Source organism: Homo sapiens, chromosome 16 (genome assembly GCF_000001405.40).
Source record: "Homo sapiens chromosome 16, GRCh38.p14 Primary Assembly".
Taxonomy (NCBI): Eukaryota; Metazoa; Chordata; class Mammalia; order Primates; family Hominidae; genus Homo; species Homo sapiens.
Genome location: NC_000016.10, coordinates 25157265 through 25178228, shown reverse-complemented (window position 1 = coordinate 25178228; position 20964 = coordinate 25157265). Strand labels below are relative to the sequence as shown.

The 20964-nt window shown below is 43.7% G+C and overlaps 1 protein-coding gene across 6 annotated transcripts in view; it reads right to left on the bottom strand.

Moving 5' to 3' along the window:
* The window catches only part of LCMT1 (leucine carboxyl methyltransferase 1), a 66487-nt gene continuing 45523 nt past the window's right edge, over positions 1-20964 (bottom strand). For 4 of the 6 annotated variants that reach the window (XM_011545864.2, NM_016309.3, XM_047434197.1 and 1 more), the window contains 6 exons: positions 17025-17127; positions 13511-13631; positions 9016-9117; positions 7424-7515; positions 3195-3292; positions 1-228 (listed from right to left, as the gene is read on the bottom strand). In XM_011545864.2, coding sequence (XP_011544166.1) covers positions 206-228; positions 3195-3292; positions 7424-7515; positions 9016-9117; positions 13511-13631; positions 17025-17127 — 539 coding nt within the window. In that variant the 3' untranslated portion in view covers positions 1-205. The remainder of the gene's footprint in view (positions 229-3194; positions 3293-7423; positions 7516-9015; positions 9118-13510; positions 13632-17024; positions 17128-20964) is intronic. The other 2 variants (XM_011545862.3, NM_001032391.2) reach the window with 1 other exon arrangement.

The following is a 20964-nucleotide window of genomic DNA, read 5'->3' as shown; positions in this document are numbered from 1 at the left end:
TGGTGGCAAGTGAGATTTATTTAAACAACGACATGTCAACAGGAACAGGAAGAGGAACATGTGCGACCACTGTAGTGACCAAGGCTTCTCAAGAGTGTGGGATGAGACCTGCGGACGAGGCCCGCCCACCGCTCAGGGAGCTTGCAGGTCTCCTCCAGGAGGGCAAGTGGCTTCGGCTTCTGGCTCGGCATAAGCCTTCGACAGATTAATAAGTTATCTCCTTCAGCCCTGAGGGGAGAGACACACAGACACCATTAGGAGACTCTGGTGGCCAGGAGCAGAGGCCCCTAGAGGACCCCCAGTGACCGGCTCAGGGGCACCAGCCACACTGCTGACCACTGTAGCACCGCCCTCCTGCTACATAAAATGAGGTTTCGCAAGGAAACAAAAGGTTGGGTAAGACTGTGTTTATGGGTGGTTTTAAAATGATTAAGAAAACATTATAACAGTTTATGGACTGTCTGCAGTTAACGCCAAAAATCTACCCTTTATGTGCTGAACTTTGAGCAAAGGCAGATACGGATCTTCCACACACACAGACAAGCACTGATGTCCCAAAGCAGTCACGGGTCAGTGGGGACAAAGTAAATTCCTGACATTAAAATGCTCAATATATTGTTCCTTTGTGAGAACTAGAGTTCACTTAAAAGTATTACAAATAACCTACATTTCCAAAAATATGGAAATATTAATTCAGCCATAGTGACATAATACAATATTATAAAGCCATTACAATTATGCTCATTGAGCATTTTTAATTGCCAGGGGGAAATGCTAATGTTATAACATTAAATTGAAAACACTTGAAATCAAAGTTGCATAAATATAAAAATTCAACTCTTATTATAAAAACAAACAAAACACTATTTAGAAATAGAGGGGAAGGGAAAAGTCACAAGAGGTCATCTCTGACTGACAGGCATACAGGTGGATTTTCTTAGTCATACTTTTTAGAAGCTTTTAAGTTTCCTACTAAGAAGTATTTTTTAATATAATTAAGAGGAGGATAACATACAAATACCCCAATAAGTGACTTTTTTTTTTTTCTGGAGACAGAGTCGCGCTCTGTTGCCCAGGCTGGAGTACAGTGGTGCCATCTCAGCTCACTGCAACTTCTGCCTCCCGGGTTCAAGAGATTCTCCTGCCTCAGCCTCCCAAGTAGCTGGGACTACAGGCATGTGCCACCACGCCCAGCTAAATTTTGTATTTTTAGTAGAGACGGGATTTCACCATGTTGGCCAGGCTGGTTTCGAACTCCTGACCTCAGGTGATCTGCCTGCCTTAGCCTCCCAAAGTGCTGGGATTACAGGCATGAGCCACTGCGCTCAATTCACAATAAATGACTTTAAATCCAAAAGGAATGTGAAGGCCAGGCACAATGGCTCATGCCTATAATCCCAGCACTTTGGGGGGCCGAGCCAGGCAGATCACTTAAGGTCAGGAGTTCGAGACCAGCCTGGCCAACATGGTGAAACCCCATCTCTACCAAAAATACAGAAATTAGCTGGACATGGTGGTGGACGCCTGTAATCCCAGCTACTCAGGAGGCTGAGGCAGGAGAATCACTTGAACCCAGGAGGCGGAGGTTGCAGTGAGACGAGATCATGCTACTGCACTCCAGCCTGGACAATGAGCAAGACTCCATCTCAAAAAAAAAAAAAAAAAAAAAAAAAAAAAAGCCAAAAAAAAACAAAAACCAAAACCAAACAAAACAAATGTGAAAGGATTGTGTGGGCTGAGCTGCATAGCTAGGCAAATCTGTGTGGAATGACAGGTCCAAAGGGGCTGATTATCAGTCTCATGTCAACCTGGAATTTTTGCATAGGGAATGGTCCTTGCCTCTGTCAAGTTCTGTTTCGGATCAGCTGCCCGCTTGTGACCACATGTCATGTGGATTACATCTGCGGGAAGCTTGAAGGGCAGCTATTCCACTGAAGGCCGGAACTGGGATCTAAAGTGGCCTCCATCGGGCTGGAGAGACACTCAAAGCCTAACCACTGGGGGAGGCAAGCCCAGCAGGGGGCAGCTGAAAAGGAGCTGGACCAGGACAAAGGTAACAAGAAACAGAGATAGATCCACGCCTGTTCTCCGTGGCCCTACTCGGCCACAGACAGGCATGTGCACCTTAATGAGAAGAGGGAAAATTCAGCCCCTAGCTGCATGGGTTTGTAAGCAAGATGTACTGATCTGTGCGTTTAACATCCAGTGAACCTGGTTGTAAGTGGATGGAAAAGACAAACGCCGGTTACTTTTCTAGAGATTTTTAAACTCTCAAGCTCTTTTACCTTCCAGCTGTGGGAACTCCACAGTACATCTCTCAAGGGTTGTTTTGGGCTACAAGGCTTAAACAGTTCTCTTGGTTTTTGTGCTATAAAAGCACAAAAGATATAACAGCAAGTTCTCTGGATATGCTCACGGATACATGTACATCATCCTCTAGTTCTTTCTGGGCCCAAAGTTCCAAATACATCTTTCATTTTGGGAAGAAGAAAAGTTCCGGCCAGGCACAGTGGCTCATGCCTGTAATCCCAGCACTTTGGGAAGCTGAGGCAAGAGGATTGCTTGAGGCCAGGAATTCTTTATTTATTTATTTTTTGAGACAGGGTTTCGCTCTTCTTGCCCGGGCTGGAGTGCAATGGTGCAGTCTCGGCTCACTGCAACCTCCACCTCCCAGGTACAAGTGATTCTCCTGCCTCAGCCTCCCAAGTAGCTGGGATTACAGGTGCCTGCCACCACGCCTGGCTATTTTTTTTTTTTTTGTATTTTTAGTAGAGACGGGGTTTCATCATGTTGGCCAGGCTGGTCTCAAACTCCTGACCTCAAGTGATCTGCCCACCTCAGCCTCCCAAAGTGCTGGGATTACAGGTGTGAGACCCCGCGCCCAGCCTACTTGAGGCTAGGAATTCAAGACCAGCCTTAGAGAGACCTCTACAGAAAATTAGCCAGGCTCCTGTAGTCCCAGCTACTCAGGAGGCAGGAGGATCACTTGAGCCCAGGAATTGAAGGCTGCAATGAGCTATGACCGTGCCACTGCACTCTAGCCTGGGTGACAGAGCGAGACCCTGTCTCAAAACAAGAAAGAAGGGACAGAGAGAGAAAGAGGGAAGACAAAAAACAGAAAGAGAAAGGGAAAGAATAGGAAAAAGAAAAGTTCACTATTTCCAGGTCAAGGCAAGAAAAGTACAATCACGCACCAAGCTCATTTCCTCCTTTGGTTGCCCAGCAAAGGCAGTAATGCCGCATGAGCTGCTCCAGCAGCTCCATTTCATCCAGGAATTCAAGTGATTCTATCCTGTGGAAAGAATTAAAATAGAACGATGCAAGTGTCTGCATTGAAAATGAAGATCATGGCCCATAGCTACGGATATGAAAAAATGTTTATGATAGATTAAGTGGAAAGAAGGCGGCTATAAAATAGTAATTATGGTGTGGCTCCATTTTAATGTCTTTTCACTGAAAAGAAGAAAAAATACCATAAACAAAGTCAAAATACAAATGCCAAACTAGAAACATATATTTGCAATTCAAGTGGCAAAGGGCTGAGTTCCTTATTATATAAAGAGCTGTTAAACTTCAGTAAGAAAAACTAGTGGCAACTGGAGGAGACAGGCAGAGTAAATTGAAGCAGATTCATACTGTCAAAACAGGACACTATGCAGCCATTTTTAAAAATGGGGTAGGTCCATACGTATTAATATGCAATAACCTCCAAGACATATATATCATGGAATTTAAAAAGCAAGTTGCGTAATTTAAAAAGCAAGTAATGTGCATATTACACCACTCTCTATGTAAAGAAAAAGTGAGACAAATTTGTCTGTATATGTACAGACTTTTGGAAAATACAGAAGAAACTAGAAATGGTAGTTGTCTCTTAAGAGAGAAGGTAGTAGACCAGTAGTGAGGAGGGTTGTTTTTACTCTATACTACTTCATTTTGGTTTTGTAAAAAATTATATGCATGTATGACTTTTCCCAAAAAGCCTTTTAAATGTAAACTTTTAAACATACATACACAGGTTGGGTGAAGTGCCTCACGCCTGTAATCCCAGCACTTTGGGAGGCCATGGTGGGTGGATCTCCTGAGGTCAGGAGTTCGAGACCAGCCTGGCCAACATGGTGAAACCCCATCTCTATTAAAAATACAAAAATTAGCCTGGCATGGTGGTGCCCACCTGTAGTCACAGCTATTTGGGAGGCTGAGGCAGGAGAATTGCTTGAACCTGGAAGGCGGAGGTTGCAGTAAGCAGAGATCGCGCCACTGTACTCCAGCCTTGGTGACAGAGCGAGACTCGGTCTCAAAAAAATAAAAATAAATAACTATATACACACACAGAGAAACATGCACAAACATATGGAAATAGCGTTTTAAAAAAGTTTCTGTTTGCCAGGAGCAGTGGCTCACGCCTCTAATGCCAGAGCTTTGGGAGGCCAAGGTGGGAGAATCACTTGAGGCCCAGAGTTTGAGACCAGCCTAGGCAACATAGCAAGACTCCATCTCTATCAAAAAAAAACAAAAAAAAAGTTTCTGTCAAAATAGGTACACACTATGGAGGAAAAGTCCGGCATTTTCAAAAAGTATACAGAATAAAATAAAAAAAGAAACAGGATCCATATTCCTACTATTCACAATAGCCACTGCTAACATATGAATCCTGCCAGTTGCCCAGGCCTTGTCTGTTATATGTGTGCACGTACACCCAGGTGTGAACACGTGTGTGTCTGTGCATGTTTCTGTATTTGTGAGTTCATTCCCGTCTTGGTATGCAGGCTTCAGGACCAAATCTGAAGTAAGAATGCCTACACATAAAGTAATGTGGTTGTTTCCCAAGTCATTCTACCAGGAGACATCCAAAGCAGATCTGATACCAAGTTCTAGAAAAATCCAGTACCATACTGAAGGCTCCAGGATGGTTATTACCAAGAACAGCTATCAGGAGACACTACTAATTATTAAGCTGTTCACTAGAATGAGCACTCCCAAGGGCAGGAATGTCTTTTGTCCTGTTTTGATCATTGCTGTATCTCTGGTGCTTAGAAAAGTGCCGGGCACACAGCAGACACTCAACTCAGCATTTGTTCAATGAACAGGCTCGCCTTAGACTTCCTATTATACTCTACAGTTTCCGGCAAAAGCAGATACAAACTACGTGGCATTCACAGAGCTGGAAAGGCTGTTCGACCTGGCATAGACAAAGGCCTTCCAATCTCCTTACCCGCCTCCCCCGTGAGGGTTACACGCTGCTATCTACAGAAGGTCCTGGAAACATGAGACAAATGACTGCCTGGAGGCAAGAGACTTTCCTTGTGGTTGATGCTAGTCAGAGGCTCCTTTCTGGGCATCTAGAAGCAGTGCCAGAGCATCCCCATTTCAGGGGCCAGATCAGGGATGTTCAAAACAGTCGTCTTGACATGTAGCAAATGAAAACCAGCCTGTGGGGAAGGATGCTTCTGGAAGAATCCAGGAAGCATTGACCTGATCACGTGGAGACAGCACTTTCTCAAACCCTCTAGGCTTTCATTGCCAATTATTCATGTACATATTTGGGAAAAACAGTGATATGCCTAAATGTTAATAAGTTATATGGAAAAGCAAAGCCAAAATTCTTCTCATGATCTTGTAAGAGACCAAAGGCTATTGATCTTAGGTCTCCAAAGGCAAGAAGGAAGCATGAATCAGGAAGCACAGAGTGATTACAAAAAAAAGAGCTGAAGTGCGCACTAGCGCTGTACACAGATGCACGTTGGTGATGTTCTCTCCAGTGTTGTTTATAACAGGCAAATGAAAACATGATGAATAAACAAGACACCGCAACTAAATGCCCAGCTACAGACATTTTTAATTACTTAAAAATTATCATCAATATACTGTATCTGCGTAAATCAATATAAATACTATGTACCCTATTTTTTTTTTTTTTGAGACAGAGTTTCGCTCTTGTTGCCCAGGCCAGAGTACAAATGGTGCTACCTCGGCTCACTGCAACCTCCGCCTCCCAGGTTCAAGCAATTCTTCTGCCTCAGCCTCCCAAGTAACTGGGATTACAGGCGCCCGCCACCATGCCCAGCTAATTTTTTGTATTTTTAGTAGAGACAGGGTTTCACCATGTTGGCCAGGCTGGTATCGAACTCCTAACCTCAGGTGATCCACCTGCCTTGGGCTCCCAAAGTGCTGGGATTACAGGTGTGAGCCACCGCACCTGGCCCTATGTACCCTTAAATGGGATATGGCAACCCTCAATATTTTGATATGTAAAGGCAAATACAATCTATTGTTTTCAAAAAGGATGGTGGTTTACAGACCAGTATGTGTAGTATGAATCCACAGATTCAAAAAATAGAAATCTATGTATCAATAAATATTTATCTATCTATGTAGGAAAAGAATATTCCCCAATATGTTAAGAACTGCTACCTCCCAGGTGTGACTACAGAATGGACAACTACTTTATACTTCATGCACTTTAGAATGCTTGAGGAACTTTTTAGAACAAGAAGCATAGATTTCCTTTATAATGGGGAGAAAAGTCCATTTAAAAACCCGCCAGCCCCTTATACGTCCTTGAACAACGTCGTTTTCCTCCCTCTCCAAAGCAGGGATTATGTAAAATTTCCACTGCCAAGGTTGCTCTGGGAGTTTTCCAGGTGTCATTGCTTGTTTTCACTAAAATAATCAGTTTGGGCATAAGCCCTATCTCAGCTAATAGCTAATGAGTTACTTTCAAGCTGCTATCAGTGTTTAACTTGTTTCAAAATAGGTCTAGTTAGGGTCTTGTTTTTTGGGGTTTTTTTTTGTTTGTTTGTTTGTTTGTTTTTTTGAGAAGCAGTCTTGCTCTGTCGCACAGGCTGGATACAATTGCACATCTCAGCTCACTGCAACCTCCGCCTCTTGGATTCAAGTAATTCTCCTGCTTCAGCCTCCCTAGTAGCTGGGATTACAGATGTGTGCCACCACACCCGGCTAATTTTTGTATTTTTATTTATTTTTGGAGACAAGAGTTTTGCTCTTTTGCCCAGGCTGGAGTGAAGCGGCACGATCTCAGCTCACTGCAACCTCTGCCCCCGCCCCAGGTTTAAGTGATTCTCCCGGCTCAGCCTCCCAAGTAGTTGGCATTATAAATGTGCACCACCCTACCTGGCTAATTTTTGCATTTTTAGTAGAGACAAGGTTTCACCATGTTGGCCAGGCCGGTCTCGAACTCCTGACCTGACCTCAAGTGATCTGCCCGCCTATGCCTCCCAAAGTGCTGGGATTACAGGTGTGAGCCACCGTGCCTGGCCTTGTTTTTTATTTGTTTGTTTGTTTTTTGTTTTTTAATGAAATCTCCACATATTGTTCTGTTTTTCTGCATGAAAGAATACAGGCAATCATGCCTTGAGTTCACAATGAATGCCCATCAAGCTGACGCTCACCAACCCCATACCTGCTCACTTCAGCTCGAGGTAACCTGTTGTACAACTCCATCATGTCGACGGCCGATGCTGTTTCCCACCCATTCGACAGGAGCCGTTCTTTCTAAAATGTGCAACGAAGAGAAATGGAGAACTAGAGAACTACCAGGCACCGGCTTACAAATCTAAGACACTGTTTTGTTTTAAAGAGACAAGGTCTCATTCTGTTGCCCAGGCTGAAGTGCAGTGGTGTGATCACAGCTCACTGCAGCCTTGACCCACCGGGCTCAAGCGATCCTCCCCGCTCTGCCACCCAAGGTGCTGGGATGAGAGGTGTGAGCCAGTGTGCTTGGTACTGAAATGCTCTTAAGCACACCAGACCTCCTCTGAGACGACTCCTTTCTCAAAAGCCCATCCTAGACCCTAACACCTTTTTTTAACTTTCCAACTTTCCATATTGAACAAGCATTGTTATAATGGGGGGAAGTTCACTAAAGTACTTCCAAAGAGAAATAAAGGAAGAACTTTTCTATGAGTGACAGTTTTTTAAAGCACTCTAATTGTTATGTGACAAAAGATATGTAAAAATGAACCTATTTATTTATTTAATTTTTTTTTGAGACGGAGGCTCACTCTGTTGCCCAGGCTGGAGTACAGTAGTTTGATTTTGGCTCACTGCAACCTCCATCTCCCAGGTTCAAGCAAATCTCCTGCCTCAGTCTCCCAAGTAGCTGGGATTACAGGTGTGCACCACCACACCCGGCTAATTTTTGTATTTTTAGTAGAGATGGGGTTTCACCATGTTGGCCAGGCTAGTGTCGAACTCCTGAACTCAGGTGATCCGCCCGCCTCAGCATCCCAAAGTGCTGGGATTATAGGTGTGAGCCACCGCGCCCGCCCAAAAAAATGAACCTACTTATATGGGGGCGGGGTGGGAGGTGTTATGAGAAAAAATAGATGACTTTTTTAAAGGGAGGGGGCATTAACATAGAGTCAAAGAGGTTTAAGGGACATATCAATCATCTGCAAAGTGTGGACAATGTTTAAATCCTGATTCAAACACATCAACTATAAAAAAAAGGTTTTTTAAACAACTGGGGAAACTGAACATGAACTGGGCATTAAATGCTATGAAGGAGTTGTCAACTTGTATGATCTGTGAAATGGTATTATCATCATCCTGGGAGAAGAAAGTCCTTATTGGAAGGTGATTCACATGTGTATTTAGGGGTGAAATCATGTGCTGTCTGGGATTTGCCTGAAAATATTCCAACATCTACAAAAAAATTGTGGGGGAATATAGGAAATAACACTGATAATATAAGAAATACTGAAGTTAGGTGATGAGACGTGTGTGTTTATTTCACCATTCCCTCTACCTTTATGTTTGTTTGAAAATTTGCGTAATACAAAGTCAAAATAATAGGGTGTAGGAAATGTGATGGTGAAGCAGGACTTGGTCTTCCCAGCATCATGAACTAGCGGCCCACATGGAGGCTCAGCAGCCTGTGCTGCTGACAGGCACTGAACAGGGCTTCTCCATGATCACATCTGCAAAGAAAGACCTTTATATATCTTGGTTGACTAAGGGTCCAAATGGATATCCCAGTCCCTGCTCTCTGACCTGTGACTCTAATGACTTGCAGGTCTCCACTCCCGCCAGGTCACACTGGCGTCTCCGCAGGTTTTCAATCATGATCTGCCCAAACCGATCACCCATGTTCACCTAGGAGGGAAAGAGAAGGTAAGATATTACTCTAAGGGTTTCCTAAATATGCAAAATAAAACATCATTCATCCTATTTTTAAGCAGCCGAGGCTGACGCTTGATGACGCACACCCAGCATAGGAAACGGACTGAGGGGCGGGCACCAGCACGGTGCTGGCGGGAGCATAAACTTGGGTAGCCCTGGAAGGGAAACTGGGCAGGATACAACCATTTTAAATGCTCAACTTGTGATCCACCAATTCCACCAAAAGCAATCTATCCTACAGACACACTCCCACATGTATGCTAAGATGCAAGAATGTTTATCACAGCATTAGGTATAATAGGAAGAATCTGGAAATAACTCCTGGCATGTTTGTATAATGAAATTATATATAGCCATGAAAACAGAGAAGACAGATATAGACATGAAATGACCTCTAGGGTAAACTCTTGAAAAGTGAAGTACAGAGGAATATGGATAGTATGAGCCCATCTGTCTTCAAGGAAAAAAAGAATCTCTCTATGTACATAGAAAAATTCTGGAATGTGGCAGCCTTGCTTCCCAGATTAGAGGACCAAAGTCTGGGGCAGGAGAGAGATTTACTTTTCCTTGTCTACCCTGTTCTATTTTTAATTTTTGTACTCTACATATGGTATTACTTTTTAAATTACAAAAACTAATCTAAAAAACCCAAAATTATATATGAAAAAGGCCAGGAAACAATATTAGTGTACACCATTGTAGTATATACACTATTGCTTTTTCAAAAACTCACTTTAGGCCAGGCATGGTGGCCATGTCTGTAATCTCAGCACTTTGGGAGGCTGAGGCAGGTGGATCACTTGAGGCCAGGAATTCAATACCAGCCTGGCCAACATGGTGAAACTCCATCCCCACTAAAAATACAAAAATCAGCCAGGCGCAGTGGCACGTGCCTGTTATCCCAGCTACTCAGGAGGCTGAGGCGGGAGAATCACTTGAACCCAGGAGGCAGAGGCTGCAGTGAGCTGAGATTGCGCAACTGCACTCCAGCCTGGATGACAGAGCGAGACTCTGTCTCAAAAAAAAAAGGCTGGGTGCGGTAGCTCACGCCTATAATCCCAGCACTTTGGGAGGCCGAGGTGGGCGGATCACTTGAGGTCAGGAGTTTGAGACCAGCCTGGCCAACATGAAACCCTGTCTCTATTAAAAATACAAAATTAGCTAGGAATAGTGGCACACGCCTGTAATCCCAGTTACTCAGGAGGCTGAGGCAGGAGAATCTCTTGAACCTGGGAGGTGGAGGTTGCAATGAGCCAAGATCGTGCCACTGCACTCCAGCCTGGGTGACAGAGTAAGACTCCATCTCAAAACATAAATAAATAAATAAATAAGTTAATATATGTAAAATTCATAGAATAGTCCCTGCTATATAGTAAGCAAAATCTAAGAATTTGCTACCACTGCTTTAGAATTATTATTGAAATTATTATCATCCATGTAGTTTTGTCATCTTAAACTACTAATTAGGCAACAAGCTGAGCATGGTGGCTGATGCCTGCAGTCCCAGGGCTTTGGGAGACTGGGGTTGGAGAACTGCTTGAGGCCAGGAGTTTGAGACCAGCCTGGACAACATAGCAAGACCCTGTCTCTACCAAAAAAATAAAGTCAAGAGTGGTGGTGTGCACCTACAGTCCTAACTAATGGGAGACTAAGGTGGGAGGATCACTTGAACCTGGGAGCTCAAGACTGCAGTGAGCTATGACGGCACCACTGTACTCCAGCCTGGGCGACAGAACGAGACCCTGTCTCTAAAAAAAAAAAAGACCAAAAAAAAGGAAAAGCAAACAATGTAAAGCATGTGAGCAATTAATACATGGTTTGTGAGGGTGCTGGTCATTTTGCGTTTGTTAGGAAACCACTGAATTAACTTAAATGTTCATTATTCACCAGGTGAGGGTGGTGGGTGGGAGCAGAACCAGTCTAGGGACAGCTATGGACAACGTTTTGAAAACTGGCACATTCCCAGGCTTGCTCCAAAGTGACAAGATCTCTGGTCAGAATTCACTGAATCCATCATCTCTCATATGATGTTGAATAAACACTTGTTCAACAAAAGAATACACAAACTAAGGAAAGGGAAAGCAGCAGTACAAATCCAAAACATGTGGAGTATGGACAGTGGAATGTTTCCCCAGATGTGGTTATCCTGAAAGCAAAGATGGGTCTCCAGGATTTATTCACATCAAAAGAAAAGACCAGTGAGGCCAGCTTCCATTACATCCATCCATCAGGATAGAAGACAGAGTCTGAGGAGCGCTCCCAATTAAAGAGAGGGAAGGATGCAAAATCAACCAATCGAGAACCATCTACACAGGAACCTGGGCAGGAAAGGACCTGGGGAGGAGGCTGAGAGACCAAGGGCTAGCCCTAGATCTGTCCATAATTACGTGACACTGGGCAAGTCCCCTGATGGCTCTTATGTGTGATAAAATAAAAAAGAAAAGGAGATTTAAAAAATAAAACTGACCAACCTGGGCAACATGGCGAAACCCTGTCCCTACAAAAAAAATTTAAAAATTAGCTGGGCATGGTGGTGTGCACCTGTGATCCCAGCTACTTGGGAGGATGACCTGGCAGGATCATCTGAGCCCGCGGTCGAGGCTGCAGTAAGCCATGATCCCCACCACTGCACTCCAGCCTGGGTGATACAGTGAGACCCTATCTCAAACAAACAAATAAATAAAAAGCAATAAACAATAAAAATAGTGAGCATGTATCAGTGCTTATGATGTGATAAGCCACTGACCATCATCTCAGGAATCCCCATAATAATCTGGAGAGTGGGTATTTCTTTCTTTCTTTTTTTTTTTTTTTTGAGATGGCGTCTCGCTCGGTCACTCAGGCTGGAGTGTAGTGGTGCAGTCTCGGCTCACTGCAACATCCGCCTCCCTGGTTCAAGCGATTCTCCTGCCTCAGCCTCCCAAGTAGCTGGGATTATAGGCGTCCGCCACCATGCCTGGCTAATTTTTGTATTTTTTGTAGAGACAGGGTTTCACCATGTTGGCCAGTCTGGTCTCAAAACTCCTGACCTCAGGAGATCTGCCCTCCTTGGCCTCCCTAAAGTGCTGGGATCACAGGCGTGAGCCACCGCACCCACCCAGTTCAAAACAAAGAACTGGGGCTCAGAGAGAACAAAAAATAGCTGATGCTTACTTACAGTTGGGCAACACTGTCAGTGCTTTTGAATACATTAACTCATTTATATCTCACAACAATGCTATGAAGTAGGGACTATTATTTTCAGATGAAGAAACAGGCACAGAGGGTCAGCCGGGCATGGTGGCTCATGCCTGTAATCCCAGCACTTTGGGTGGCCGAGATGGGCAGATCACTTGAGGTCATGAGTTCGAGACCAGCCTGGCCAAAATGGTGAAACCCCATCTCTACTAAAAATACAAAATTAGCTGGGTGTGATGGTGCACGCCTGTGATCCCAGCTACTTGGAAGGCTGAGGCAGGAGAATCGCTTGAACCCAGGAGGCGGAGGTTGCAGTGAGCCGAGAGTGTGCTGTTGCACTCCAGCCTGGGCAATAAGAGTGAAACTCTGGCTTAAAAAGAAAAAAAAAAAGAAAAGAAAAGAAAGAAAGAAACAGGCACAGAGGGGTTATGTAACTTGCCCAGGTCACACAGCAGGAACGCCCAACTCCAGAGAATGGACTCCCAATCACTAAGCTGTGCTGCCTAAGTTCACATAGCTGAGAGCACAAGCCAGGGCCAGGATTCAACCCAAGCTATTCCAAAGCTCTAAAGCAGAACTTTTTCTGCAATAAATCAGAAGAAGTAAACAGGCAGCTGGTAAATCATACATGGTAATTTTAGAAATTAGAATATTTTACATTAAAATCCTGCATTTCCAACTTCTTTCAAAAATCAGGAGTTCTGGCAGCTCTAGGCTCACATGCCTACATGATAACAACTGGCTGTAAATGGGCAGTGGCCACTCCTGTGAGATGGGACGTGGGTGCTCCGTTTCACCAGTCCCCAAACCCTACACTATTACACCTGGCTGACTTCCTCCACTGACCCCACCTGCCTGTCCCTGACAGCATCTGAGTTGCTACCCCAAAATGCTGGTAGCCAAAATCCTCTTCCTCATGTTCTATGACTCCATGGTACATGTAATGATAAAAATAAGAACTTGAAAATCTTTTGTAAAGGCTAAGACAGAAGTTCTAATAACTGGCTAAAAGTCTGCAGGAGGTCAAGAGGTCAGGAGTACTAAGATTGCTGGTTGGTGAATAAAGGAGATATGTGAGAGGCTGGAGGCAGAAGGAAAAGGATAAGGGAAGTTATCCTAAGGGTGCTGGGAGAGGGAAGCCACCACGGCGATCCTGTATGGAATCCAGTTCTCCTGTGCTTCCTTTTACCTGTTCGTAGTTTATGAACATGGCTCTCTCAAAACTGTTGGCTGCCCACTTCAGGAGGTTTGCGGACTGCTCTGGAGTCATGTAAACCAGCACACATTCAGCTATCAGGAGTGTTGGCAATCTTAAAGATAAGGAAAAAAAGGCACATAAATTTGTTATCATCAAGTCAGGACCCTCTAATTGTACACATGTTGCAGTATTGGTGGGGCGGTCCATGCCCCAGGGAACTCAGAAGGCCTGAGCAAGCACAGCCCCAGTCAGGACAGGAATACATGTGGAATACCGTCACAATCCGAGCTTTCTACTGTGAAAAGGTGAGCAGTGAGAAATGATTTGTGTGGCAATGAAAACATGTTGAGCATGTGTGGTGGATTGTAAAAATGGTTTCAAGTTCTCCCCTGCTGTGCACTCACACCACGCCAACATAACAATGCAGCTTCCCCCATTTGAGAGGTGTTTATTCTTCTACCCCTGGAATCTAGGCTGGTCATGAAACTTTTGCTTTGGTCAACAGGACAGTAGCAAACATGATGCAAGCAGAAGCTTTAAAGTCACTTGCACATTGGTGCTTGCTCTCTTGCTGCACTTGGAAAACTGAAACCACTGTGTGAAGGAACCCAAGCTAGCCTGCTATAGGGGGAGAAGACCTGTGGAAGAGAAGAAGGCATCCCAACTGACAGCCAGCCAGACCCTAGCTGGCCTGCCCACTGTCCACCTGACTGAACTCCAGAATATCAGCTAAACCCAACCACAAGCAGAACCATCCAGCTAAGCCCTGTCCAAACTGCAGAAGAACCTCCAGCTAAGTAAGGCCAACCCAAACTGCAGAAGAACATCCAGCTAAGCCCAGCCCAAACTGCAGAACACCCAGCTAAGCCCAACAAGAAACTGGTTGAAAAGAACATGGTATGCCCTACCCAATGAACTGCTATGCAGCTCATAAGTATGATGTTTCAGGGACTGTATTTATTGACACAAAAGCTATCCATGGTCCCCAGATTCAAGTGGCCTATCAGATGCTTCCCGGCACTTCTTCAAAGCAGATACCCCAAGAGTAATGAAACAATCGAATGTCATTAGCTATTTTATATTTCTTTTCCTTACACGATAATGTGTAAGCTGTTTTGTTCATAGTGAGTACCTGTACTTGACAGAATCTCGATTATTTGCTAAATGAGTGAATAGACAAATGAATGATTGTATGTGTACATATACACATATATATTAGATTCTTTTTTTTTTTTTTTTTTTGAGACAGAGTCTCATTCTGTCACCAGGCTGGAGTGGAGTGGCACGATCTCAGCTCACTGCAACTTCCGCCTCCTGGGTTCAAGCAGTTCCCCTGCCTTGGCCTCCCGAGTAGCTGGGACTATAGGCACACACCACCACGGACCCACCTAATTTTTGTATTTGTAGTAGAGACGGGGTTTCCCCATGTTGGCCAGGCTGGTCTCAATCTCTTGACCTCGTGATCCGCCCATCTTGGCCTCCCAAAGTGCTGGGATTACAGGCGTGAGCCACCGTGCCCAACCGATTCTTTTAAAAGTTCCAAAACTGGCTGGGTGCAATGGCTCACGCCTGTTAATTCCAACACTTTGGGAGGCGAAGGCAGTTAGATCGCTTGGGCTCACGAGTTCAAAACAAGCCTGGGCAATATGGTGAAACCTTGTCTCTACAAAAATTAAATGGGTGTGGTGGTGCACTGCTGTGGTCCCAGCTACTCAGGAAGCTGAGGTGGGAGGATCACTTGAGCCTGGGAGATTCATGCTGCAGTAAGCACAGATCACGCCACTGCACTCCAGCCTGGGTGACAGAGTAAGACCTTGTCTCCAAACAAAAAGTTCCAAAATTATACGCATAGCATAATCACATTTTAAAGAAAAACATATATTTACAAATTTTGGGATAAAATCTTTTAAGGTGGTTATCTCTAGGTATTGGGATTAGGAATTATTTTTATCTTCTCTTCGAGGAACCATCAAAATCATCAGCAACAATTAAAACTACAGAAATGAATAGCATTTCTCAGAGATTTCAGCATCTTCAACTGCTAACACTTACAGGTGGGTTCTATTAGTATTCACATTTTCACATTTTTCTTTTTCTTTTCTTTTCTTTTTTTTTTTTTTTGAGATGGAGTCTTGCTCTGTTGTCCAGGCTACAGTTCGATGTCATGATCTTGGCTCACTGCAACCTCTGCCTCCTGGGTTCAAGTGATTCTCCTGCCTCAGCCTCCTGAGTAGCTGGGGTACAGGCGCCCACCACCACGCCCAGCTGATTTTTTGTATTTTTAGTAGAGATGGGGCTTCAATATGCTGGCCAGGCTGGTCTCGAACTCCTGACCTCAGGTGATCTGCCCACCTCGGCCTCCCAAAGTGCTGAGATTACAGGCATGAGGCACCACGCCCAGCCTATAACTCACATTTTTCCGAAGAGGAAACAGATGCAGAGAAGTGAAGTAAGTTATCCAAAGTCATGGTCTAGTGCATATTCCTGTCAGGATTCAAACCTGTGCAGCTGGACTCGGTTCCCAGACTCATGAACTACAATGAACATCCTCCTTATGCATATATGCAAGATCTTCTCAAGGAGACACCCACGAAAGTGGAACTGCTATGTATGGTACACATACTTACAATGTTACTAGATACTTTCAGATTGCTCCTCACAGTAGTTGTACTGTGATAATGCCAGCAGTGGCATTATCATTCCCTATCCCCCACATCCTTGTCAACACTTGATATTGTCAGCTGTTACATTTTTGCCAACTTGGTGACAGTAAAATAGAATTTCATCTGATTATCACTGATGCCCAATACCTGTTTCATATGATATTCAGTTTCTTCTTTGAGCTGCCTGGTAATCTATATTTTGCCCATTTTTCTGAGGTTTTTTTTTTTAATAGTAGCTGTTCTTTATATATTCTGGATGCTAATCTTTTCTTTATATGTTACAAATATGTTTCTATCCATAAATTATCTTCTCTCAAACTTTTATATGAAATTAGGCACTAGTATTTTTACAAAGTAACACAGGTGATTCTGATGTAGAAACAGACTTGAACAGTATTGCTTTAAAAATTTCAGAAAACTACCCAGCACTTTGGGAGGCCAAGGCAGGCGGATCACCTGAGGTCGGGAGTTTGAGACCAGCCTGACTACATGGAGAAACCCCATCTCTACTAAAAATACAAACTTAGCCAGGCATGGTGGCGCATGCCTGTAATCCCAGCTACTCAAGAGGCTGAGGGCAGGAGAATCACTTGAACCTGGGAAGTGGAGGTTGCAGTGAGCTGAGATTGTGCCATTGCACTCAGCCTGGGCAACAAGAGCAAAACTCCACCTCAAAAAAAAAAAAAAGAATTTTTTTCAGAAAACTAGGTAGCAATGAAATGATAAAACTCTTAAAGAATAAAAAATGGAACATGAATATCATGCTGTACTTCCGACTGGCCTTATCTCATAATTAGCATAAAATCACAAATGCAGAAGAGGTTTAAAAAAAAAAATCTCACTGTGTATTCATGTTACATTTCTTTAGCTTCTCTTCCAGTTCAGACAGGTCTCGGAGATCTGCTCCAATAACGGCATATCTCTTTGAATCCAGTATGTGTCCATCTGCAAATGCAATCAGAGGCTATAATTTTAATGAATATGTCTTTTCCAAAGTTATAGTAGCCTTATGGTTTTTCCTTACTATAAAAATACATGCATCATTGTTAAAAAAAAAAAATACGTAAGAGGAGGGTAAAAATTAACCAAAATCCTATCTTCCAAAGATAACTATTCGTGTTTTGGTGTGTAACATTTCAGCCTTTTGTCCTATGTGCTTAAGTTATTATACACAACAAAAACACATCCCCTCTCATGCACATGGTGCGCACACACATACACACATCCTGAATAGAGAAAAGAAAATGGGACCACCCAATATGTGGTTTGAAAACTGCTTTTCCTACGTAACAACAGCATCAGGGACATCCTTCTGTATAATGATTTCATAGCATTCCATTGACTGGATAAAACATAACTTATTTAGCCAATCCCTCACTATGAGACATGGTATTTCTAAGTTTTCCCCATCTAGGCATTTAAGCACCCTTGTATAGACATCATGAAGCATCTGTCCAGTTATTTCTTTAAAGTAGATAGTATGAGTGGAATTAAGAGATCAGAGGGTAAGCCTATTTAAATATGGGGACCCATTAGCAGGCTGCTCTCTAAATGTTACGCCAATTTGTGTTATGTTTTAAAAAAGACAGTTTATGTACTAATGTATTTACAAATAAAATGACAGCATTTGCTTTGAAAGACTCCAGCAGAGGTGGGATGAAATGGTTATCTATAGTGATTATTCTCAGGCTTCAGTGGTCATCAGAATCAACTGGGTGGCGTGCTAAACCAGATTGATAGGCTCCACCCCAAATTTCTCATTCACTACATCTTTCACTAGCAGAAATTTACATTTCTATTGGCTGGGCACGGTGGCTCACGCCTGTAATCCCAACACTTTGGGAGGCCAAGATGGGTGGATCACAAGGTCAGGAGATCGAGACCATCCTGGCCAACATGGTAAAACTCCGTCTCTACTAAAAATACAAAAATTAGCTGGGTGTGGTGGCGCATGCCTGTAATCCCAGCTACTCTCGAGGCTTGAACCTGGGAAGCGGAGGTTGCAGTGAGCCGAGATCATGCCACTGCACTCCAGCCTGGGCGACAGAGTGAGGCTCCATCTCAGTTAAAAAAAAAAAAAGTTAACAAATTTTTTTTTAAAGAAAGAAAATTGCTTGATTTTATTATTCACTCAACTTCCAGACATTATTCACTCAACTTCCTTGAGGGTACAAACCATTGCAGGAGCTGAAACATCAACAGCTACCCATACTACTGCTAATAATTCAGGTTCTCTTGGCTCTGAGAACTTCAGCAAAAAAGCTGAAAAGGCTAACCTATAACATGTAAATAGGTTCTCATTTATCATCTTGATAACTCCACTTGGCTGATTCAAATACATATGGCTACACACCATAAGCTAAAGAAACACCTCCTAAGAGCCTGCTAGATGTCAGGAAAGCAATAAAGGGCAAGCAGGGAACCCAAAGTTGGCCCCAGGGTGTCACGAGTCAGGAAAGTAATATAAAGAATATGGCATGTATCTGGGTGCGGTGGCTCACGCCTATAATCCCAACAACTTGGGAGGCCCAAGCAGGAGGATGGCTTGAATGAGGAGTTCAAGACCACCCTGGGCAACACAGCAAGACTGTCTGTACAAAAAAATTTAAAAAATTAGCTAGGTGTGGTGGCATATGCCTGTAGTCCCAGCTACTCCGGAGGCTGAGGTGTGATGGCTTGAGCCCAGGAGCTCAAGGCTGCAGTGAGCTATGATCGTGCCTCTGCACTCCAGCCTGGGCAACAGAGCAAAGACCTTGTCTCTACAAAATAAAAGAATACGAAGGTAGTTGCCTACCCTATTAGGAAAATAATTCCAAAATGCCTGTGTAACTTCTTGCAAATAACAAATATATTAATAATAAGCACATTTGGAATGAGTTTTTCCATCCCTGGCCAAACAACAACAAATAATACACCAGAATATTAACACATGAAGTCTAGTACCATGTAGTTCAGGGGAGATCTCTCTTACTCACATTAGGATCTAACATTAGCATGTAAAGCAAAAATCACACATCATCATGATTATTCTTGTAAGTTGTACACAAGGTACATCTGAGCTGAAGGGAGTCAGTGACTTGAGGCTCACCCGCCACTCTGCAGTGGCCCAGCCGTATGTGGTGGCATACTGGTATACCACATGGGAAGCACTGGACAAGACGACCTTGAGATCCCTTTGAATGATAGAATTTGATGACTTGAGTAACTCACACCAGCATCCCATGATTCAGTTGCTCTTCTTAAGTCAGGGGCTACTCAAGCTGTAGGGAAATAACAGGTCCATTATCTGTCCTTGAAGGATGCTTTATCATTATTTTGTAGGGAACTGAATGTATTTGTGGAGGACAGGCTCAGAGCAAGTTTCGAAGGAGTTTTATAATTCTGGGAAAATAAAGCCATTTGTATAAAATCTAGCACTGGCAAGAGGCCATGAGAACAGAAAAATCCTTATCTGTCTGGAATGCTTCTGAGAGCTGGTGGGAAAGATAACTTGGTTGCCAAAATGAGATCTACAATCCCTTCTTTTCCTACATTCTATTTCGTGAGAGAAAAATGTAAGGCAACTGAAATCATTTTGTGTGATACTTACAGAACTTTCTAAAGAAACAGACCGGCCGGGCGCAGTGGCTTATGCCTGGAATCCCAGCACTTTGGGAGGCCAAGACAGGCGAATTGCTGAAGGCCAGTTCGAGACCAGCCTGGCCAGAATCTCTACTAAAAATACAAAATTAGCCAGGCGTGGTGGTGCACACCTGTAATGCCAGCTACTTGAGAGGCTGAGGCATGGGAATTGCTTGAACCCAGGAGGCGGAGGTTGCAATGAGCTGAGAGTGTGCCACTGCACTCCAGCCTGGGTGACAAATCAGAGCAAGACTCTGTCTCAAAAAAAGAAAAAAGCAAGTATTGTGCCAATGTGGATGTGGAACACAGGGGTGGTGTCCAATCTGATTCCAAGGTGAAGCTGTAAAGTGCCCTACAGGGCACGCATCTCAGGAAGCAATTCTGGGTGTTTAAGAATGAAGTAAAAATGGTATTTTTATTTCATTTTATGTGTACTTTTTTTTCAAATGACTAATAAGTTGTTAGGACATAAATACTTCAGCTGTTTAAACCCAACTAATTAAAAAGAACTGCTGAGTGTGTTTTTTGGCTCAGGGGTACTATGAAAACATTACTGAGACAAATTACTGGGAAGCAAGAAAGGTGGGGACCCCCTGGCCTAGCCCAATGCCTGCTACACAGCAGAGGTCTTCTGTGAAGATGACCACAAGTGATTAAATCCAGGCAGGTGCTGGAATGAGCCCAGCTGAGAAGTTCCACCTGAATGAACCCAACCCAAAGAATTGTGAGCTAAATAGATGGTTGTTGTTTTAAGCCACATGCTTTGCAGCAGTTTGTTACAGCGCAGAAGCTAATGGATACAAGCTTTAATTATCTGCCTCATTAAGTTTATATACTTTATCGTCCTAATCAGTTTTTTTTTTATTGTTGTTGCTGGTTTTTTTTGAGACAGCGTTGCATTGTATCACCCAGGTTGCAGTGCGGTGGCACGATCATGGCTCATTACAGCCTCGACCCCCCAGGCTGCCTCAGCTTCCTGTGTAGCTGGGACCACAGACGTGCACCACCATGCCTGGCTAATTTTTTTTATTATTTGTATAGATGGGGGGTGGGCGGGTCTCCTTATGTTGCCCAGGCTGGTCTTGAACTCTTGGGCTCAAGGGATCCTCCTGCCTCTGCCTCCCAGAGTAATGGGATTATAGGTGTGAGCCACCAAGCCAG